Source organism: Homo sapiens, chromosome 13, assembly GCF_000001405.40.
Source record: "Homo sapiens chromosome 13, GRCh38.p14 Primary Assembly".
Lineage (NCBI taxonomy): Eukaryota > Metazoa > Chordata > Mammalia > Primates > Hominidae > Homo > Homo sapiens.
The window spans coordinates 30,773,977-30,798,090 of record NC_000013.11 but is presented as its reverse complement, the minus strand read 5'-3'; the positions used below and the strand labels follow the sequence as shown (position 1 = coordinate 30,798,090).

At 45.8% G+C, this 24,114-nt stretch overlaps 4 annotated features.

Moving 5' to 3' along the window:
• Window positions 4,337–7,310: an enhancer, noted in NCBI's record as "VISTA enhancer hs1515". NCBI's record gives its function as "enhancer in: neural tube[5/11] | branchial arch[8/11] | heart[4/11]" and the evidence as "EXISTENCE:transgenic organism evidence [ECO:0001131][PMID:17130149]".
• Window positions 4,895–5,411: an enhancer, noted in NCBI's record as "NANOG-H3K27ac-H3K4me1 hESC enhancer chr13:31366817-31367333 (GRCh37/hg19 assembly coordinates)". NCBI's record gives its function as "activates a minimal SCP1, AML or CMV promoter by ChIP-STARR-seq in primed H9 embryonic stem cells {active_cell/tissue: H9 hESC(primed)}" and the evidence as "EXISTENCE:reporter gene assay evidence [ECO:0000049][PMID:30033119]".
• Window positions 5,165–5,459: a silencer, noted in NCBI's record as "tiled region #10911; K562 Repressive non-DNase unmatched - State 22:ReprW". NCBI's record gives its function as "represses a minimal TATA promoter and a strong SV40 promoter by Sharpr-MPRA in K562 cells {active_cell/tissue: K562}" and the evidence as "EXISTENCE:reporter gene assay evidence [ECO:0000049][PMID:27701403]".
• Window positions 5,165–5,459: an enhancer, noted in NCBI's record as "tiled region #10911; HepG2 Activating DNase matched - State 8:EnhW". NCBI's record gives its function as "activates a minimal TATA promoter and a strong SV40 promoter by Sharpr-MPRA in HepG2 cells {active_cell/tissue: HepG2}" and the evidence as "EXISTENCE:reporter gene assay evidence [ECO:0000049][PMID:27701403]".

Genomic DNA, 24,114 nt, shown 5'->3' with positions numbered 1-24,114 from the left:
CAGCCCTCCTGGGCTCCAGGAGTGGTCCCAGAAGACTCCCCTTTCAGGTGCAGGAATCCTGGGTTCCACAGCAGGGGTGCTGCCAGTGGCTGCCTGGGACTCCCAGGATATCCCTCCTGGTGAAGCCAGTCAGCAGATCAGAGGTTTCAGTCCTTACTGACTGTGAAATCTAGTGTGTGTGGTCACTCTTTTTACCTCCTTGCTCCTGCGTAAGATCCAAGTGGAGAGTAGAATCTCTCCACCAGCCCCTCCATAGTGTGTTTCAGGTACCCTAGACAGGGCCTCTGTCCCCCTTGGCTACCTACTTGGCACTTGGGGTCTGACCCTGTCCTGTTTACATCCCTGGCGAGGAACCTCCCTGAGCAGTTGTCAGTGGGAGAAATGTACAGGGGGGCACCAGGATCAGGGCTGACTTAAGGGAAGGAATTCCCAACCTCTGGCTGTACAGTGAGGTCAGGGAATCTTGGAGACTGTTGCACCTTTGTGGGACCCATCTCTTTGGAGAGCCTTTTGGAAGGGTGCTGGGATGTTCATCTTTGTGTTAGTCTTTCCACTGGGCCATGCCCATGCTGCTACAGGCTAGTAGCTGGAGCCAAATCCTGGCCCTGCGTCTCACAGCTGTGTGACCTCGGGTCCATTACTCACCTTCTCTGAGCTGGTTTCCCTATCTGTAAAGTAGAAACAATCATAATGATAATGGAGACAATGTTCCTGCAGCGTGAATGAGATAACAAAAGCTCATGTCAGACGCGTAGGTGGTGCTGAAACATGTCTGCTGCTTCTCCCCTCCTCCAGCGTTTCACACTGTGCACCCACACTGGGAACTTAGGGGAGTTCCTGGACCCTCAGGGGAATGATATCACAGAACCATTCTAATTGCCTAAGTCTCACAAGCAATCTGATATGCCTAGTATTTGTTCCTGAGTCTGAGAGGAGATCGTTATTGTTCATCTTTTAAAGCAACAGGTCGCCCAGTCTGTTGACGATACCTCCCATCAAGACATATGCTCCACCAAGCTAGGAGCGGATGATGCCAGAGCCGCCTTGCTTCTTGGATTTTCTTCTGAGCCCCACCGTGCTGGGGAGACTCTGAGCATGGTAAATATTTAAGCACACGTCTTGTGTAACTGTCACAGATCCGGATGCACCGGGAGCCATGGAGCCACAAGCTGGCACCTGTCTAAGTGTCCCAGCTTCGAGAGACGGTGTTTGTGCCAACATTGGGAGTCTGTTGGCGACCAGTGGCTGATAGGTAGCAGAATTCTGTGGTCTGTTAATTGTCTTGGAAGCAAATCCTTGAATTGGGAGAAAGAGAAAGCAACTGTAATTAAAGCTTCCCTTGGGCAGAATTTCCCTGTGCAGGCAGTTGGCACATTTTTTGTGTGCCCGTTAAGCTCCAGGCACTGGGCTAGGAACTTTACGTTCACTGAAGCTTTTAATCCTGGTAACAGCCAAAGAAGAGACTGTTATTGTCACCAAGAAACAAAGGCTCAGAGAGGTTAAATGGTCTGCTCAGAGTTCTACAGCTACTCGGTGTCAGAACTAGGGAATGAAGCCAGAGTTGGGAAATGTAGCTATGAAAAAAGAGAGTTGATATCACCATTTTAAAACCCTGATGCCCTGCCAGCAACATCGCCCAGAGATTGAGATCCTTGAGACCAGGGAGGAGGCTTGTGTTTGCAGGGAATGCCTTTGGGTGCCACCACTAGGTCAGACGCTAAACCACATCCTGATGCCTCATAGATGCCCATTGGGGAAATAGATTCTGTCACGTCTCAAGGTATGTATTTATTAAAACCCATGGGAATGGAAAGACAGCAGAGAAAAAGAAAGTAGAACAACACAGGATGAAGGGGCTGTGCTGCCTACAGTAAACAGAACCCAGGAAGCTGATTACAGCAGAGATGGAGGTCACCTCCCCTTCCTCTGTGCCCCTGCCATCCTCAGCATTCTCCCCCTGCTCCCTGAACAGCCCTTCCTGCCACTCATGGGACACCCTACACATGACACGGCCACTGCCAGGCTCCAGGAGTCTGGATAGGAATAACCAGATACATGATGAGCCTACAGTGTTGTTTTAAAGTTTATCTTATTTATTTATTTTAGGGGCAGGGTCTCACTCTGTCACCCAGGCTGGAGTGCAGTGGCACAATCACAGCTCAATCATAACTCACTCACTGTAGCCTTAGAGTCCTGAGCTCAAGTGATCCTCTTGCCTCAGCCTTCCAAGTAGCTGGGACTATAGGTGTACACCATCAAAACCAGTAATTTATTATTATTCTTTGTAGAGATGCTTTGCTTTGTTGCCCAGGCAGGTCTCCAACTCCTGGCTTTAAGCAATCCGCCCACTTTGGCCTTCCAAAATGTTGGGGTTACAGGAGCAGACATTGTGCCCAGCAAGGTTACAGTTTAAAATAATCACAGAAGTCCCTTTCTGAGAGAGTTCAAAAACAAATGTTATGGAAATTCTGCCAGAAAGATGTATAAGAGCTGGACTTGGGGAAGGTTTTAAGAAAGAGGGACTGGAGTGGGACCCTCACGGGTGAGTAGGGTATAGATAGTTGGGGTGGGGCTGAGGAAAGAAGCTTCTGGGTGTGACCCTATCCTCACAGAGGACAAGAGTGTGGGGAGGGAGAGAGCACAGAGCTCCCACTGGGCACCAGGGGAGGTGAGGGCGATCATGCGTGGTGCGGAAGATCACATAGGACCTTGAGAGCTACTTCTAGCAACAACTGTATTCTGAGTGCCCTTGTGGGGTCTGCTGAAGGGTTTTCAACTAATAGGATGAAATCAACTAGGAATACCAATGGGTCTGTCTGTAAGACCAGGAGCTGCCTTTAGGTCTCCAGCATAGCACATGCTCAGGTGTTATGTATGTGTTGAACTCAATTTAGGTTTATAGATAGATAGGAAAGAACAGGGATATTTGATCTGGTGTAAATCCTACTCTTCATTGGAAATGGAAGTTAATGGTTGTGAACCCCCCAAAAGAAGACAAACCCTGTAGTCACAAAGATTATGAAGTCATCTCAGGTTGATCTCTCTTTGCTGCCTATAGCCTTTCCTGGTAAATAATCAATGTTTCAACAAGTGCAAATCAAAATAACACTTCTTTTGCTCCTGGTTTATAAATGAGTCAGTGCTGAATTCTGATAGTAAGAAGCAAACCCCTATGATAGTCTACGAAGCTTGCCTCAAAGTCTATGCCTACCCTTCGTCCTGGTCTTCCAAGCTTGCTTCCCAAGCCAACCTGACGTGTGGAGAGCTGCTGATCTGAATGAGTACTTAGCTGCCAAAATGTACCCAAAATTGTACAGCAGAAATAATAGTAACATGACATATAGAATGCTAAGAAATCATTACCAAGTGTCATATCAAGAAACGCTGCATGAACTTGGACAAGAAGAGAAGCAAGCTCATTGGTTCAGTGGTTCATGCTGGTGGGGGTACTCTAGCCTCGGGAGCCACTGTTTGGACCGAACATTCCAGCTTGTCTGCCATATGCTTCTCTCTGTATTTTGGCTTCATTCTCACCAAAGGGTTGTGGACCCTTTTCCCCAGCAGTCACACAATCTGACCACCAGCAGCTTCGAGGTTCTTCTTCCTCCTCCAAAAAGGAACATTTCTTTTCTTTCTTTCTTTTTTTTTTTTTTTTGATGGAGTTGCACTCTTGTTGCCCAGGCTGGAGTACAATGGCACAATTGCGGCTCACTGCAACCTCCACCTCCCAGGTTCAAGCAATTCTCCTGCCTCAGCTGCCTCAGCCTCCCAAGTAACTAGGATTACAGACATGTGCCACCATGACTGGCTAATCTTTTGTATTTAGTAGAAATGGGGTTTCACCATGTTGGTTAGGCTGGTCTCAAACTCCTGACCTCAGGTGATCCACCTCCTTCGGCCTCCCAAAGTGCTGGGATTAAAGGCATGAGCCACTGCGCCCAGCCAAAAAAGAAACATTTCTTCCCCACCAGCAGTAGCACAAATAAATCTCAGGGAGAGACCCTGATCAGCCGTGACTGGGTTGGTGTCCTCCCTCAAGGGGACTATGGCCAGAGAGGTGGAGACACAGAAAGGGAGACAACCCCCATTCAGACCACATTGCTGGAGCCTGGGGACCAAAGGCAGTTCTGTCAAAGATGGTAGAAGGGACACAAAGGACCCATTCTGACCCAGGAAGCCAACCAAATGGTGTGCATACCAGCTTGTCATGCATGGAGGCCTGGAAGGGTTCTGTCATTCTCCTGAGTGGCCCTGCCTGGGTTTCCGGGTCCCTGCCTCCAGTTGCTTCTGATTCCTGATGATCAAAAGACCCCACTGATTTTTTTCACCTCTTTGAGTCAAACTGCCCTCTCTGCTGGATCCTTAGCAGTCACTGATGCCCGCAGTTAAAAATTCAACCTTTCATGGGTACAAAGAAAGAAGAAATAAGACCTAGCATTTGCTAGCACAACAGGGTGACTATAGTAAAACATAATTTAATTATACATTTTAAAATAATTAAAAGAATATAATTGGATTGTTTGAAACACAAAGGATAAATACTTGAGGTGATGGATACCCTATTTACCCTGCTGTGATTGTTATGTATGACATTCCTGTATCAAAATATCTCATGTAACCCATAAATATATACACCTACTGTGTACCCACAAAAATTTTAAAAAGTCAGCCTTTCTATAGAGTTAACATTGTGCCAGGTAGGCACAACAATGAGAAATGACAAGAGGAAATGATGAGCTAAAATGCCTATTTTCTCTCACGAAGCGATGTAATACAGAAGCCTTACGTTTTCTGGTTATCTGGCCAAAAGAAATCCTGTCATTGCCCTTGGTTATCAAATAGACCTCATGTTCTTGTCAGTCAGAGAATTGTGGAAATTTGCAGCTTAAAAATGTAAGGTGTGGGTGAAATCAGATTAGGTTTGACTTCATTGTTCAACAGAGGTTCACAGATGGGTCCCCTAATGACTAGGGTTTTGGTGTCCTTGGCCAAGGTTAAGTGACGAGTTAGGTCATCGGTCATTGCCATCCCTAGTGGTTAAAGCTTGGCCAGGAGCAATCCCACTTATTAAGAAAAATGCCTTGCCGAGGGGTAGAACGTTAATTTAATTTAGGGATAGTACAATTGTATCTGCACATTCTGCATTTCACTGTTGATACAGCCTGAGCCTGCCTGGCTGGTTGCAATTGTTTTAAATCCTCTGGCACCATTGATCCCTAATTGACCCCAGATTCCTGAGCGCCAGGAGCAGCCCTGACTTGTTTATTGCTGGCCCTGGGCCACCGTGCGGGTGTCCGCTGAGTTCCGCTGAGCTCAGCCACAAAGGCTGCTCTCTGACTGTGAGTCAGCCTAGCCCACGGCCAGCCAAGCCCATGGCCAGCAGGAGGACCTCCTCCAGCTTTCAAAAACAACAGGGCTTCCCTGTAGCTAAAATGCTTATTTTCTCTTATGAAGCGGTGTAATGCAGAAGCCTTAGTTTTCTGGTTATCTGGCCAGTAGAAATCTGGTCACCCCCTTGGTTATCAAATAGCTGGTTGCTGCTGCCTAGGCAGGCTATAACCTATAAAAATGTTAAAGGCGGTTCACTTCACTCAACGACAAGCTGTCCTTTTGCCCTGGGGGTACCTCCCAAGCCTTAGCCAGCTGGCTTTGAAAGTCTCACGTGGGTGAGTGGGTGCCTGACTGGGTGCAGCTGATGCCCCGATCCCTGATGACAGGTGTCCCCAGTGTCATCTTTATGTACAGAGAAAAGTGAGTTAGTGCTTTGAGAAATCAGCTGTGCACACAAAGAGCAAACCAGGACCCTCTCTGGTCCCAGCTGGTTCTGTTAGAGTGAGCTGGGGTTCTGCGAAACCACATTTGGTATGGGAATGCAAGCTGCAATTTGGTCAAAGGTACATTGACAGCCTGAAGGAGACTGCATTTAAGCCCTACACTAAAACAATGGGGAGCCTGAGTCCAATATTTACTGGGTGTTCCAATAAAGATCTAGAGCACAAAGGCTCTCTGGGGACCTCCATCACAAATAGCGCAGCACACATTCATCTGGCCACATTGGCACTTGTTAGCTCTCAGGCAGATTCAGATGGGGGGTTGGGGGGCGTGTTCCCTCCAAGAATCCTGCTGGCCTACCTTGAAAATCAAAACTGCATGGTCAGATGCAGACAGGAGGAATGTTGCTAAGCTTCGGAAACCACTTAAATACTTTGAACAGAATGGCTCCTCAATTGAGGACAAAAGTATACTTTTCTCTTAAACTGCAAACCTGGAATGTGCCTTCTGATGATTATAGGCAGAGTCCACACTCAAGTGATGGGAACCAGGCCCATGCTCTGCATATGGTGTCCAGGCTGCAGGGCAGCTGTGCCTTAATGAGATCCAGAAGCCTGCTGGCTCCCCAGCAGGCCCTCGGGAGCGAGGGCGTCCAGCACGGGTCCCAAGGGCTCCCCACCCTTCTTGGAGGCTTGGCACCCCGCCTGCCTGACCCCAGGGTTCTGCACATATGCACCGGAGGCAGCCTGGTCCCCCATACACGGATGCTTTAGTTGGATGACCGGAAAGGGGTGTGGTATGGGGGTCAGAGCATCTGAACAGACAGAGCTTTTCCCAGGGCCTCCTCCTTGGCTCAAACCATGACCTGCCTGCATCCAGATCTCCTCTCGCTCTCATTATCACACCAACTGCCTCTGCAAAATGCAGATACACTTTGCTGTTTTTGCACTTGGTAGAAATGACATCTTTTTTTTGAAACATAATAAAGCCCAGTGATAACACAGCTACAATAACATAAGATCAGGCTGGGCATGGTGGCTCACGCCTGTAATCTCAGCACTTTGGGAGGCCGAGGCGGGCGGATCACGAGGTCAGGAGATCAAGACCATCCTGGCTAACATGGTGAAACCCTGTCTCTACTAAACAAAAGAATGCAAAAAAAAAAATTAGCTGGTCATGGTGGCGGGCACCTGTAGTCCCAGCTACTCGGGAGGCTGAGACAGGAGAATGGCGTGAACCCGGGAGGTGGAGCTTGCAGTGAGCCGAGATTGTGCCACTGCACTCCAGCCTGGGCGACAGAGGGAGACTGTGTCTCAAAAAAAAAACAAAAACAAAACAAAACCATAACATCAGATGGGTGTAAATAAGGGGGGTTGATTTCTGCTCTCTGCAGCAGATTTACCTGGTCATTCAATCCATCTGTTGTAACACAAGCCCACACCTTTTTTGAGCCTGAATTTTTTGGGTCCTACTTAGGAAGTTATTATATTTGCTAAGGCCCTGAAGTGTGCATGGAAACATGCAAAGCATGCACAGCCACTCTCCACCTGCTGCCAGGGCCGTGTTGGTGAGATGAAGCTCTGATGAGATGCCACTGCTAAGGAGATTTCAGCATTATGGAGCTCAGATTTTAAATGCCAGCAGATCATTGTCACTAACCGGTAGTCCCCAAAGCATAGAGCAGCAGTGAAAGAGGGTACATGTGGCCCAGGTGATGATATTAGCCTATTGTGGAGGTGACGGCTAGAAAATGGCTCAATGGCCAGCCTGGACACCATATTCAGAGCATGGGCCTGGTTCCCATGCTCTGGAATGTGGATTCTGCCTATAATCATCAGAGGGCACATTCCAGGTTCTTGGTTGACAAGAAAAGTATATTTTTGTCTGCAATTGAGAAATGAAGATAGGACATTTGTTCTAGTCTCCAGAGGACAGCAGAGTCAGACCTACCCTTGTTGACAAGCTGCCTCCTCACACACCTCTGGGAAGGGAAATGTGGCTGGTATTTAATTCTCCACCATTTTGTCTTGGTAGATGTGACAATGGCACCAGACCCAGCTGCTCCCTGAATGCACAACTGTATTTTCCAGCCCTGTGTCCCCCAGCACCATTATCACAGCCATTGGTCCCAGGGATGGAGCGTTCTTGGGTGGAGGGGACCTGCTCATCACATCCTTGCTTTGGCGTCACTGTCAAATGGGAACACTCTCAGCACAGGACTTGCTTCATGGAGGCCCTGACACAACTAGGGCATCAAGGAGCTGCAATTCCTGAATAAGAAAGAAATGCGCCTTCCCACAACTTCAGCACAATCAAGGGAGACATCAGCTACAGAGGAGGACAAGAAGATACTGATTTTCCACATTTAATATTCTTCAGACTTTCCCAGCAAAGAATCACAGCAGAGATGAGGCCTGGCTGCTCTCTTAGGGGAAGTTTGCTCCACTGTCTGCAGTCCTGGCCTCCTTAGAGGTACAGATCTCTCCAGACTTAATTCCAAAGCTGCTGTGGTCCTCCTCAGAGGGGCATCTCACAAACAGGTCAGCAGCCCCAATCTTGTCCTCACAAATAGAATTCCTGTGTACTCCTCTCTGCCTTCTGGCTTCACCCACAGGGAGTGCATTCCAGAATAGACTAGAATGGTCCAGAAGTTTCTGAGAATTCTAGAATGCCTGTACCCTCCTACTGGGAAACCCAGCTTTCTGCAGCAGGACTCTTGCAGATTTCAGAATCCCCCACCTACAGGTTCTTCCCCTACATGAACTGCACCGGAGTTCAGAAATGGGGTGTACTTTCCCCACACTGGGTGTCTCTGTTACCTCACTGCCCAAATTCTCCTGCTGCTCAGAATTTTCTCTCCTGTACCTCCTTTTCCTCCAATTTTCAATCACAGTCCACAGTGGATGTGTAAGAGGCACACCAGGGAGTCTTGTAAGCAACTGGTGACAAAGTCAGGCTTCCCTGGCCTCCCACGGAAGATATATGCTCCTCCTCTGGGCCCTTGGCATTCGATGTAAAAGCTTGATACAGCTTTTACTACATGACATTGCAACTGTTGGAAGCCCCTTCTCTAGAAAGTACTAACTATCATTTATTGAGCACTTCTTATGTGAAAGTGTTCAACATGCATTATTTACAATCCTGTGAGATAGGTGTTCCTTGTCCCTTGCAACAGGTAAAGAAGAGACTGAGGCTCAAAAAATTTAAGTTAACATCAAGATGCCACAGCCTAGTAGAGAAATCAAGCTTTGGCTGGGCAGGCCTGGCACCAAAGCCAGGCTTGCCTCCCTCATCCCTGCTGCCACCCAGCGTCCTGGGGCCTGTAGGTCCGGGCTGAGTCTTTCCTCTCCGTCCTGAGATTTTACCCCAGGACGTGAGACTCTCAGTGCTAAAACAAGAACAGTGTGTCGCCTCTCACGGGAACATGCACACCTGGATGTTAAGGCAGGCCTGAGGCTTAAAATGTGGGTGCCAGGCTGCATGGAGGAAGGAGGAAGAACAGGCCTTGTAGACCAGGACAGCTGTAGGATGGGGATTCCTGTCTCAGGGAAGGATGCATGGTACAAGGGGATGAAGAAGGGAATGTCCTTTGTTGTACACTTTGAGAATAAATGTAAAGTTCCCCCCTTTTCAGAGGATCCCAGCTTTAGCCTCAAGGCCAGAACACAACCCTGACCATTTGGAGGGTGTAGACAGGACTTGCTAGTGGGCTGGATTTGCCAAGTATTAGAGAAATGTTCCTGAGTTTTCCTTCCCTTTTTATGAATCCAAGAAATATAAAGCTAGTTAATTTTTTTTAAAATATTCATGGATCCGTTGGACTCATCTTCCTCCAATGCCCCTCTCTGAGAAGGCTTGAGGGCCCACCTCCCCCAAGACGTAACCCGAGGTCCTTAGGGTGATCGCCCCATCACAAAAGTGTTTTGCAGTTTCTCTCTATGACTCTGCATGTGCTGTGGTCACTGCTTGGCCCAAACCTCCCCCTTCCGCCCACTCCCTACTCATCATCCTTGTCCTTGCTGTGGCTGCTGGGCCACTCACTCGAGGCTTTCCTGCCCACCGCTTCCCTGTCGGGGTGAGATGGGCTTTATCCCTCCGTGTCGTAGATGCGTGCTTAGCTCACCCTCTAGGCTGGGAACCCTGCCAGGAGAGGGTCAGTGACTTCTTATTGCTGGGGTCCCAGTAGCCATGACAGAGTTTGGCATGCAGATGCTCAAGAAATGTTTTGAGGAAACGGAAATAGAGCTATTCAGGGCATGCTGGTAATGGAAATATCCCAGCTTGAAAGATGTTCAGCTCCAGGCTGCAGCCACAGGTGACTCCAGGCTTCCAGACGCTGAGCTTCCCAACAGCTTCTAGCTGGAGTGACTGGGTTCCTAGCTGTTGTGGAGGTTGCTCCTCAGTTGCCATGGGAACCAGCCACTCACAGAGCATCCTTCGCTGGGGTCCCTGAGCTCTGCCCTTACTCCCTGCTGCTGGAGCCTGCTCACAGGCTGCCATGGGAACTGCCCAGGGGCCAGCACCTCCCTCCAGCCCACCCTTGAAGACACCTGGAGCCACAAGATGGGGGCTGGACTTCTGGGGGATAAAGCCACCCTGCTTAGGGTTGCTTTCATGGAGAAAGGCATCCAAGATCCAAAGCAACCAGCAGGAAATGAACTACATCCATGAAATGAAGTGGCTTCGTTTTCAGTAGCCAGTGTGAGGAGGGCAAGAATCAAGAAGCAGGCCAGATGGAAAAATGGAAGAGGAATTAGTTTTCCTTTAACCTCAGAGTGTCTGCTGGGTTGGAGGGAAGACCTGATCCTCGGAAAGGAACACCTGGGGACTTTGTCAGACTTGCCAGGAGTGGGTTCAGGCAGAGATTTTACCAGTTGGCTTTGAGAGGCAATCAATGGGGTATTTCACAAATGAGGAAACTGAAGCTCAGAGAAGTTAAACAAATCCACGTCCCTACCTTCTTCCTGGGCCTGCATTCTCTAATCTTCCTTGTGACTAGTAGTGACCACGTGGCCAGCCAATGTAGCACAGCCAGTGATGAAGGGATGCGTGCCACTTCCAGTCCTGTCCTTCAAAGTCTGCCATGCATGCCACCAAGCTCTCATCCTCTTCTGGTGATGGCCCTGGGGTGACCTTGGAAGTGACCTGATGAAGACAGCAGAACCTCCACAGTCTGAGTCCCTGGGTGGATGTGCTGAGGAGAACTGCCCCACCAACCTCTCCCCCTGCCAGGATTGTGATCTGAACAAGAAAAAACATCCACTGTGATTATACATGTTGTTGAGGTCTATTTGTTCCTGCAATTAGCCTTCCCTAACTGATACATGAGGACAGTCCTGTCTAGCTTCAGCTTCCCTGTACCACATCTCATAGGTCAGCTTGGTTGCAGGGCAACTGGTGGCATCTGAGTTATCTTGGCTAATGTTGGGCTGGCCCAGAGATACTGGGTCAGAGCTACTCTGTTCATCATGATAGCTGCTTTCTGTGGTCTGGAGGGTTCCCAGTAAATTGGCTCCAAGTCAGAACATGAATCTTTCATATGACATGTTCTCAGGGAGATTATGGATTTGCCGCATGGTGTCTGGTACTTAAAAGGTGTTCTGTGAATGCTTATGGATAGATGGATGGATGAGTGGATGGACGGATGAGTTGATGGATGGGTGGGTGGATGGATGGGTGGGTGGGTGGATGGATGGATGGGTGGGTGGGTAGACAGGTGAGTGGATGAGTGGATAGGTGATGATGGCTGGATGGATGGTTTCTACTATAAGGCAGGGGAAGGAGAGAATGTCCTAACATGGACATAGGAGTCTCATTGAGACACTAAAAAATTAGGCAAGGAGAGAGGGCTGCTCATACCAGTGACAACCCTCTCTTGTTATGTGTCAGTAAGTCCCACTTGCTAGAGAAGAGCAGGAGACCAGACACGGGCAAGCCTGGGAGGCAGCAAATGTGTGGTGTAAGCGGCTCCTGCTGCTGGGAATGCCTCATCCCTACCCCCAACCAGGGCAGTGGTTGTCATCTTAGGAAATAAAAATACAGGGTGCCCAGTTAAACTTGAATTTCAGATAAGCACGAACATCTGCCTGTGCAATATTGGGGACATTTTTATACTAAATAAACTATCTTGTACCTGAAATTCAGATTAACTGGGTATCCCGTGTCTGATCTGACAACCCTAAGCCAGGCTGTCCAGCAAGTGACCTTGTATGGACAAAAGGGGAGATAGTGGCATGGGTTGGTTAAAGGCCACTGTTTCAGGGACTCAAGTCCTTCTGTTAGGGGCAGTTTGCCTCTTCTGAATGTCCAGGAGGCAGGAGACCTCTAGCCACTTCATCTGGCCTCTTTCCTGCATTATGGGAAGTATTCTAAGCTTGGAAATGGCAGGTCTGTAAATAGCGGGTGTAAATTAGAGCAGAAAAAAAAACACAAAAATATACCTTTTGACCTTCAGTCCACTGGATACAAAAAGGAAATCCATCCAACCCAGCAACTGTTTATTAAATGTGAAACACACCATTTTATTCATAATAGGAGTTACAGAATGGGAGCACAGGGGACCTTTCTGTTTTTCACCCTAGGAAATATTCTCTACGTGCTTTTGTTCAAGAGTCTTAAACATCATTCACATGCAGTTCCTATCACTGTCATAAAGCTGGCATAAACACAGTTGTGGTCAGCATGGATGCTCGGTCAGCCTTTGTACTGACACTGCTCTTCTCTCTTCACATTCAACACAATTTTTGCTTATTTTCTTGATAGTTCTAGGAATCGTGGGAGAAAATTCTAGAAGTTAAGGGGATCTTGCTTCACCCTTTCCTCCTGCGCTAATCACATCACAAGTCTACATGAAACCTCCATAGTGAGAAAAAAAAAAAAAAAGGGAAGGATGCTAAAGGGATTAGCCAACCCCTTCCTGGGTCGGGAGGACTGGCTGGTCACTTGTCCCCTCGCCCTGGCTGGTGCTGTGATGCCCACGTAATAATGGGACTGAGAGCTGTACCCAATAAGCACATAGTGGCAGAACCTCTGACACAATCACCCCCATTCTCACGAGGTTACTTGTCATTGTCTCCCACTGGTGGCCCTATTTTTTTTTGAGATGGAATTTCACTCTTGTCACCCAGGCTGCAGTGCAGTGGCACAATCTTGACTCACTGCAACCTCCACCTCCCAGTTTCAAGCGATTCTCCTGCCTCAGCCTCCCCAGTAGCTGGGATTACAGGCACCCACCAGCACACCCAGCTAATTTTTGTATTTTTAGTAGAGACAGGGTTTCACCATGTTGGCCAGGCTGGTGTTGAACTCCTTACCTCAGGTGATCCACCTGCCTCAGCCTCCCAAAGTGCTGGGATTACTGGTGTGAGCCACCGTGCCCAGCCAGGCAGCCCTATTTTTATGCTTGCCTCTCTGTAGCCTTTGTCCCACCCAGAAGCCAGAGACATCCTTGTGAAATGCCATTCTCCAGCTGTAAACCTTCCAGTGATTCCCCTGCCTGTTCAAAAATGTCCCAACCCCTTCCGTCGGTCCACGATGCACAGGATTCAAGCCTTCTGACCATGTTCTCCCACCACTCTCATCCCACCCCACAGACACGGCCCCCTTTCTGCTTCTCAAACACACTGAGCTCCATCCCCACGTAGGGTTCCTCATTCACTGAGTACCGGGCCTGAAAAATTCTTGCTGCAGGTGTTTGCCTGGCTGTTGCCCTCTTGTCACTCAGGTCATGGCTGAAAAGTGGCCTTTCGGAACAGCTTTTACTGACCATGAAACCTAAAACAACCCCCTTCCCTTTTCTGCTCCATCTCATCACCCATTTTTATCACAGCACTTACCATGACCTGATAATTTTTTGCTTATTTGTATACCGTCTGTATCCTCAAAAAAGAATGTAAGTTCCTATTTGTCCTTCTTAACCCATATTCCCAGTCCCTGGAACAGAGTGTGGCACATAGTAGGCTTTCAATAAATGAGGAATGAATGTATTGCAGGAACTTTCAAAGCTTCATCATATCACCAGGCACCAAATCCTCGTGAAGACAGCATATATACATGGCTAGTAATAATACTAACAACAGACAGACTCAGGCCTTACTGCAGGCCTAAGCACTTTTCCAGTATAATTCTCTCAATCCTCACAGTAGCCCTGAGAATTCTGCCGTATTATTATCCCATTTTACAGATGAGAACATGAAGCCCAAATGGGAAATGTAACTTCCCGTGGGCACATGGGGATAAGTGAGGAAGTCAGGGTTTGCACCCAGGCAATTCAACTTCAAACTCTAAGCCCTGATCACTAGGCTCTGCTGCAAACACCAAACTGAGCCCCAAGCCTGACACACAAAGAGGACGCATCCAAGCTGGTTTCTGGGAGGTCCATGTGAGGCATTTGGTTGTTTATGTTGGTTTGTTTTATACCATTTGTTGAGTTCTGTTCATACATTCAGTGTCAGGAGGAAATAGGCCCAACTGTGACTTGATACGAATTCAGAGATAGCCAAAGACAGAGGATGGAGGCCAGTGAAGCCTTCTGTATACACCCACTGTCCATTTACCACACACTAGACAGACGTTTTGTGAGTCTGTGCCCTGCAAGGCACCATCCTAGGCTCATTTGTCTGTTAAGAGGTGGTCAGTGCTATGGAGAAACAGAAGCAAGGTAGGGGATTGTGGAGTGCAGAGGGGAGGAGGAGGAGGATGATGTGTTACAGGAGGAGGGTGGCAAGTAGAGCTGGCCTGAGAAGTTCCATGTGGGTGTCCAGAAGTAAGGTGTTTCTGGCATAAGGGACAGCAAGTGTGGAAGCACTGGGGCTTCCTGATGTGTGCAGAGGATGAGCAGGGAGTGGGCCTGAGACAGAGGAGCAGTGGGGAGGGATAAGGTGAGAGAAGAGAGAGGTCTTACAGGCACTGTAAGGATTTTACTCTGAGTCAATGACAAGCCACAGATTGACTTACATGTGTAGAGCCTTGCTCTACACCAGCACAGAGACAGTGTGAGCAGGAGCATGGAAAGTAGAAGATCAGCCATGGTGGTGTTTCTGCCCCTTAGTGGACATTTGTCAATGTCTGGGGACATTTTGGTTGTTGCACCTCAGGAGTGGAGGATGCTATTGGCATGTAGTGAGCAGAGCCCAGGGATGCTGCTGAACATCTTAGAATGCACAGGACAGCCCACCACAATGAAGAATTATCTGGCCCCAAATGTCAAATGTGCTGAGGCCAAGAAACCCCGAGCTAGGGGATTACTGCAATAATCTAGGTGAGAGGTTACTTATTAAATAGCAACTGAGCACCTACTATGTGCTGAGAGCTGAGAACATAGCAATGAGCAAAACAGACAAAGCCCTCTGCCCTCATGGAGCTTTATGCTGCAGTGATGGTGGAAGTTTAGAATGGCATTGGGCAGTGGGGGTGGTGAGAATGGTCAGATCTTAAAAATAATTTTTCGAAGGTAAAACTGACAGGATTTGCTAAGAATGGAATGTGCAGTATGAGAGAAGAGGAGTCAATGTTGATGCCAGGGTTTCATCCTGAGCAATTAGAACAGAGTTACCACTTACTGAGATGGGCCCACTAAGGGAGAAAGTGATTGTGTGGATGGAGAATCAGAGGTTTTGTTTTGGACACATTAAGTAGGGATGAGGGCAATGTGATATTTTAGTCTGGAGGTTAAGAAAGGGATCTCCTTTGGAGAAGACAAATTTTAGAAATTATTAAATGTGAGGAAGATCACTCAGGTATCTGGAGATGTGCAAGAGACTTGTGCAGCAAGCCTGAGCTCTCCATAATTAGGAGGTTGGAGAGTGTCTTAGTCTATTTTGTGTTGCTATAACAGAATACCTGAAGCTGGGTATTCTATTTATAAATTTATTTCTTAAAAAAGAGATTTATTAGACCTAAAACAATAAAAACCCTAGAAGAAAACCTAGGCATTACCATTCAGGACATAGGCATGGGCAAGGACTTCATGTCTAAAACACCAAAAGCAGGGGCAACAAAAGCCAAAATTGACAAATGGGATCTAATTAAACTAAGGAGCTTCTGCACAGCAAAAGAAACTACCATCAGAGTGAAAAGGCAACCTACAAAATGGGAGAAAATTTTCTCAACCTACTCATCTGACAAAGGGCTAATATCCGGAATCTACAATGAACTCAAACAAATTTACAAGAAAAAAACAAACAACCCCATCAAAAAGTGGGCGAAGGACATGAACAGACACTTCTCAAAAGAAGACACTTATGCAGCCAAAAAACACAGGAAAAAATGCTCACCATCACTGGCCATCAGAGAAATGCAAATCAAAACCACAATGAGATACCATCTCACACCAGTTAGAATGACAATAATTAAAAAGTCAGGAAAGAACAGGTGCTGGAGAGGATGTGGAGAAACAGGAACACTTTTACACTGTTGGTGGGACTGTAAACTAGTTCAACCATTGTGGAAGACAGTGTGGCGATTCCTCAGGGATCTAGAACTAGAAATACCATTTGACCCAGCCATCCCATTACTGGGTATATACCCAAAGGACTATAAATCATGCTGCTATAAAGACACATGTACACGTATGTTTACTGCGGCACTATTCACAATAGCAAAGACTTGGAACCAATCCAAATGTCCAACAATGATAGACTGGATTAAGAAAATGTGGCACATATACACTATGGAATACTATGCAGCCATAAAAAATGATGAGTTCATGTCCTTTGTAGGGACATGGATGAAATTGGAAATCATCATTCTCAGTAAACTATCACAGGGACAAAAAACCAAACACTGCATGTTCTCACTCATAGGTGGGAAATGAACAATGAGAACACATGGACACAGGAAGGGGAACATCACACTCTGGGGACTGTTGTGGGATGGGGGGAAGGGGGAGGGATAGCATTAGGAGATATACCTAACGCTAAATGATGAGTTAATGGGTGCAGCACACCAGCATGGCACATGTATACATATGTAATTAACCTGCACATTGTGCACATGTACCCTAAAACTTAAAGTATAATTAAAAAAAAAAGAACTTAAAATGAAAAAAAAAAAAAAGAGAGATTTATATAGCTCATGGTTCTACAGGCTGGGAAGTTCAAGGAGCATGGTGCTAACATCTGCTCCTCATGAAACAGTGGAAGGTCAAAGGAAAGGGGCAAAACTTAGAGGTGTCCTCACTTTGTAACAACCCACCCTCAAAGGGAAACAATCTATTCCCAAGAGAACTAATCCAAGAGTGGGAATTCAATCACTACCTTGAGAACAGTACTAAGCCATTCATGAGGGATCCACCTCCCATGACCCAAACACCTCCCACCAGACCCCAACTCCCAACACAGCCACAGTGGAGATCAAATTTCAATATGAGATCTGGTGGGGATAAACAAACCATATCCAAACCATATTATTCCACCTCTGGCCCCACAAAACTTATGCCCTCCTCATTGTAAAATACAATTATCCCTTCCCAATAGTCTCCAAAAGTCTTAACTTGTTCCGGCATCAACTAGAATGTCTAAAGTCCAAAGTCTCATCTGAGACTCAAGGCAAGCTCCTTCCAACTCTGAGCCTGTAAAATCAAAAACAAGTTTTTTACTTCCAAGATAAACATTCCCATTCCAAAGGGGAAAAAATCAGACAAACTAAAAGAATGACAAGTCCCACACAAGTTCAAAGCCCAGTAGACCGAACATTAAATCTTAAAGCTCCAGGTGCTGCCTCCTAGGCACACTGGTGAAAGGGGTAGGCTCCCAAGACCTTGAGCAGCCCCATCCCCATGGTTTTGCTGGGCAGAGCCCATGTGGGTGCTCCAGGGCTTGAAATCAGACACCTGTAGCTTTCCCAGGCAGGCACTACATGCTGCTAGTAGCTCTACAATTCTGGGGTCTTGAGGGCAGCCCTGCCTTTATAGCTCCACCAACCTTGGTAGGCACTCCCTGTAGTGGCTCTGCCCCTGTGTCAATTTTCTGTCTGGGCTCCCAGGCTTTCTGATACATCCTCTAATATCTAGGAGGAAGCTGCCACGTCTCCACTGCTCTTTCATTCTGTATGTCTGTAGAATTAGTGCCGCATGGAAGCTGCTAAGGCTCAGGGCTTGCTCTCTACAGAGCAGTGGCATGAGTCAAACCTGGGGCCACATGAACCAAGGCTGGAGCATCCAGAATGTGGGGACCAGTGTCCCCAGGCAGCACAGAGACACAGCATCCTGGGCTTGTTCCCCTAAACCAACCTGTCATCTTAGACTTAGACCTCTGGGTCTGTGATGGAAGAGGCGACCTTAAAGATCTTTGAAATGCGTTGGGGACCTTTTTCCCATTGCTTTTTCCCATTGTTCTTTTAGCACCTGGCTTCCGTTTATCCACGCTAATCTCTCTAGCAAGGGGTTTCTCTGCCTCACCTCACCTTTGGGCTCTTTCATTCTCTACCAGAATTTTGGCCAGGCTGTGAATTTTCCAATTTTTTCTGCTCTGTTTCCCTTTTTCTAGTAATTCACTGTAAGCAGTTAGAAGCAAGCACTCAGCAGCCCACGCACTTTGCTGCTTAGAAATTTCTTCCACCAGATATGCTATTCCATCACTCTTAAGTTCAGCTTTCCACAGAGTCCTAGGGCATGGACACAGTGTAGCCAAGTTTTTTGCAATGGCATAACAAGGATGCCTTTTACTCCAGCTCCCAGTAAGTTCTTAATTTCCATCTAAGAGTTCATAAGAATGACCTTTACTATCCATATTTCTATCAGCATTCTGGCTACCACCTCTTAACAAATCTCTAACAATTTCCAAACTTTCCTTCATCTTTTTGTATTTTTTTGAGCCCTCGCCAGAATCATCCTTAATGCTTAATTCATAGCAATATAGTATTTTTCTAGCTGCTTCTTCGAACTCTTCCAGCCTCTGCTCATGACCCAGTTGCAAAGCCACTTCACATTTTCAGATATCTGTGTAGCAACATCCTACTCCTCGGTACCAATTTTCTGTCTTAGTCTCTTTTGTGTTGCCGTAACAGAATACCTGAGGCTGGATAACATCTAAAGAAAAGGGGTGTGTTTAGCTCATAGTTCTACAGGCTGGAAAGCACAAGAAGCTTGGTGCCTGCCTCGGCTCAGTTTCTAGCGAGGACTTTCATGCTGTGTCACAGCATGGCAGAGCATCAAAAGAGAAGCAGACGTGTGTGAAGGAACAAAACCCAAAGATGTCCTCACTTTTTAACACCCCACTCTCATGAAAACTAATGAAGTCTACTGAGAGTGAGAACTCACTCATTACAGAGTGAACAAGTGAATGGCACCAAGGTATTTATGAGGGATCCACAGGCCTTTCACTAGCCCCCTTTCCCAACATTGCCACATTAGGGATCAAATTTCAACATAGTTTTAATGGGGTCAAACCATAGCAGAAAGGAGCTAGCACCAGAGGATGGCATAGAAAGAAAGAAAGAAGCCAAGCAAAGAAAGTGTTTCTAAGATGAAAGAGTGATCAAACCGTGCCAAGTAAATTCTTCTCCAATGCCAAAAAGAAAATCTAAATACCACCCTATCTCCATTTTCTAATATTATGAATTGTTCTAATGAGGCCATCACACAACTTGGTCCACTTATTGACAATCCGCTGAATCATCTCTAAGGATAATTCAATCTGTCCAGGGGGTAATCCAGTTTCTTCAGGGACAATTACTAAACATCTACACTGAGCAATAAATGAAACTGAATGTCTTGCAAGGTGGAAAAATGATTAATACCCAGCTTCTATCTTCATAAAGCTTTCTATCTACTGGGTGAAAAAACGCATTATCCATGAAAGCTTCTGCAACATCAAAAGAAAGTATTCATCCATTGATATTCATTGTTCACTGTATACACAGCACTCTCCTTGTTGCCGAAAACACAAAAGAGAAATGCAAGACAAACTCTGTCCTCTCGTGGAATTTGCAATTTTGTTGGGGGGACTAGTGGAGAAATAAAAGCAGGCAGTCATAGCATGGAGTGTAAATGCACTAGGTGTTTGAAGAAAGAGAGGGCCATTCATATTACAGTGCCTGTTAACTGATCTCTGGCCTGAATTACCTCCCTTTGCTGCAGCTCACACATGGGTTCTAAGGATTCAGGGATGAGGCAAGAAGATGGGAATAAATTAGTATATGACCATGACAACCTCCAGGAAGGGACCCCATAGCACACTGGCAACCCCTAACCCTAAGAGGAGGCTTTTCCGAGATGCTCCGCTTCATGATTAAGCATTCACCAGGACTGGTGCTGGAAGTGAAATGAGGGCCAACGTGGAGCTTATGTTTCCTGATATCTCTTCCCGTTCATTAGCTCCCAACTGTTATTTCCCCAGAAGAAACCAGGTGAAAGAGGTTTTGCGTTTGAAATGTTGAGGCTTTGGAAAAATCAATTTCCACACCAATTTCTCCCTGAGTTCTGATATAGTTACCCAAAAAAACTTCTCGACTCTCCATACCCAAGCATTATAGTGGGAATTTCATCAATTTCTGCATGATGTAACCAAATCCTCACGTTATATTGAGCAAAGCCTCAGTACTCACAGGAACTCTTAATATAAGGGGCAGACAGGTCTCAAAGTGCACGCAGGCATTTGTTTGTTTTAGCCTAATTGTTAAAGTATGGGCCAGACACCAAAGTGGTGGATTTCTGGGCATGGGCAGGTGAAATATGTTTCAACATATTGCAAAATTTAGATACCCTTTCCTATAGAAATTTCAGGCAATTTTTAAGATAAATGTGTATCACTTGAGTAGAAAAGGGATAAGAAAAACTATATATTTTGTAGTTATACCCAAGAATAACTACTCTCTTTGTACCAAGAATTGGTACAAAAAGAAAACTATTCCATTAACACTCAAGATGCCTTGGAAGGAAGATAGAAGGAAAAATATTTCAAAAAAAAATGTCCACTTTCTGTACTCACTTTACCTTTGTTTTGTTAGGTTGCTTTAGCACCTGTAAGATACTTGAATTATCTTTTCTGTCAAAACCATGCCAGAGACAAAAGAAACGTGATCATTTTTCCTTTGGTGCTGACCATATGGGAGTAGGTTATTTTTTCAAATAGCAAAGGACCCTAGAGTTAGAAATTACCTGCAAGTCTTGAAGGCTTATAAGAGAGTTATCAGGAAAATGCCTTAAAGTTGTTTTTCTTAAACAAACTAATAAGAAAAAGACCTTTACTTTTATTTTTCACAGGGTGGAGCCATCCTTTTCTCTTTGGGCCCTGTTCTAAATTGAAAAATTCAGAAAAATAAATGACAAATACAAAGGATCAATTGATTTATTATGATTTTTCTAACCTGACATGTTTTCCATAAATTAGGACAATATTGCTGTGTTTTTAGATTAAAAGACCCAGTTCAATATGTCTGTCTGCAGAAGAGGAAATGAAACATCCTTTCTTGGGCCCCATTATAAGGATGACTTATGACAGGCAGCTGTCAGGCAAGGCATCTGGATTCTGACGGAGCCTGTTTAGACAGTGGTGTTGAAAGCGCTCAAGAATCTGGTGAAAGTCATAGGAATCTTACCACAACCACCCAGCCAAAACAACATGCACAGAATGGATGTCCACATACATACCATTGTGAGGTTAATTTCAGGGTTTTCAAGCCTCCCCACCCTTGAGGTCCATACCCTGATCCCTTACCTATCAGTTCCTATCTATATGATCTGTAGTGAATTACTTGCTCTCTCAAAAGACTCACTTTCCTTCTCTTTAAAATGAGCATGAGATAGTGGTGCCTGGCTTATGGGTTTGTTTTGAAGATTAAAGGTACAGATGTATCTAACCGCTTGGCACCATACCTTACCCATAATGAAGGTTGGTCATTCTGAGCCATTATTATCCTGCTTGTGCTATGAATTTAAGATTCCCTGGTCAAAAAGAATAATATGTGTATTTTATAGTTTATCTGTATCAATTAAAAGGGACAATCTCTATTACAGGTTTTATGGAATAACCATTTAAAGTATGGATTTACTTTACAATGTCCATAACTTACTTTAAAATACCTCAACACTGAGAAATGAATCATGAGTTTGTATTAGTAGAAGCCTCAACTCCAGAGGCATGAAGTTGCTGAAATGGAAACTTCACCTCCACAGGTGGCCAGCTGGTATTCCATCAGAAAGACTTCAGCTCTTCAGATCTCAGTCATCACCTTAGGCTTTGAAAATTAGCATAGTGAGCATCACAAATGGATTTTGATTGATATAAGAGATTTGCTAGTCAGTATGAATACCAGAAATAGGCTTTCGACCGGGCGCGGTGGCTCACGCCTATAATTCCAGCATTTTGGGAGGCTGAGGCGGGCAGGTCACCTGTGGTCGGGAGTTCGAGACCAGCCTGACCAACATGGAGAAACCCCGTCTCTACTAAAAATACAAAATTAGCCTGGCGTGGTGGTGCATGCCTGTAATCCCGGCTACTCTGGAAGCTGAGACAGGAGAATCGCTTGAACCCAGGTGGTGGAGATTGCAGTGAGCCTAGATGGCACCATTGCACTCCAGCCTGGGCAACAAGAGCAAAACTCTGTCTCAAAAAAAAAAAAAAAAAAAAAAAAGGCTCTCAATGGTAAAATTCAAGGTATTCAAGTCTGGTGACTGTGTAAAATATTGTCAGAAATATTGTCAGAGTGCTCCGCACCTGTGCTGAATAGGCAGTAGGAATCTAGTGAGGCCTGTGGCCATGCCCATAGGATCTGCACTGTGGATCCATCCATAGACAGTTCTGCCACCAGCTACTGGTTAGGAGGATTTCTGGTTGCCTAATGCTGACTTCAGGGTATCAGAGTCCTACCTCTGGAATATTGTTGCTTCTCCCTCTAGGGAATTTCATCAGGAGGTGAATCCATCAAGCTCACAGTTTCATGAACTCTCCTGGGCCTGCTTTTTAAAGGAATGTTTGTTTCAAGAACAGTCTGTATTTGGCAGAATTTCTTCTGAGAATTGCTTTTTTGATAACAAGATCTAAAGACATATCTAACTCTCATTCATCTTAAACATCTCAGTGCCATCATATACCCAAAAGAATGCAAGAGTTGTGCATGGACCTATTTGCTAAAGTCAGTTCACAACAGCTTTAAGATAAGATAGACTGAATTTGGATCCCAGATATGCTACTTCCTAGCTCTTTGACCTTGGGCAAATGTCTTCACCAGTAAAACAAGGAAGTTAATATTACCTACTTAATTGGGTTATTAGAGAATTAAATGAGATAAGGCATATGTGATGGTTGATTTTATGTGTCAACCTGACAAGGCTAAGGGATAGCCAAACAGATGGTTAAATATTGCTTCTTAATGTGCTTGTGAGGGTGTTTTCAGAAGATTCAGCATTTTAATCAGTAGACTGAATATAGAAGCTCTGCCCTCACCAATGTGGGCAGGCATCCTCCAATTCGTTGAGGAAAAAAAAGGAAGAAGAAGGGTAAGTTCTCTCCTTCTCTGTTTGAGCTGGGACGTCCATCTTCTTCTGCCTTTGGACATCAGCACTACTGGCTCTTGGGCCTCCAGACCCTGTCTAGTACTTATACCATGCCGATGTCCCCTCCCACACAGGTTCTCAGGCCTTCAGACTTACACTGATCTACACCACCGCTTTCTTGGTTCTCCAGGTTGCAGGCAGCAGATCTTGAGCCTTCTCAGCCTCCGTAATTGTGTGAGCCAATTCTCATAACCAATTAATCAAGCAATCAATCAATTCTATCAGTGCTGTTTCACCAAAGAACCCTGACTAATACAGCGTGCAAAGCACACAGTGCACTTCCGGCTTACGGTAAGAAAGTAACAAATGCATGGTCACGGTTATTATTATGAGTTTAGGTATTCTTCTTTCTTATTATAAACAGCTTTCCAATGTCCTTTAACTTTCATTTTCCATGATGATTTATTTAGAACTATAAATCGAAACTGTTCACTCTTGGGTTTCTGTGACCTACTTTGCTGTGGTGTTTCTGCTGCCTCTCTGACTGCTTCCTGTCCTCCAGCACAATGAAAGTTCTGCAAAGATAGCGACATTGTCTCTGTCATCACCACTGATGCCCAGGACCTATCCATATGCCTGGTATATGGTGGGAGTGCAATTGGGATTTATCTGTACTGAGTCTCCTCAGCACCCAGGCTCAAAACCAAGCATTCTCTCTTATTCTCTCTCCTTTTCCTGATCCCTACCAACCAATCCTGCTTCCTGTTTGCTGTCATTCATAATGTTACACCTTCCATTTTATTTTTCCATTCTGTCAGCTGCCATCTTTGTCTGGGTGCCATCTTGCATTTAGACCGTTGAAATTGTCCCCTACCAATTGTCTCCAGCTGGTTTCCTGTTTCTAGCCT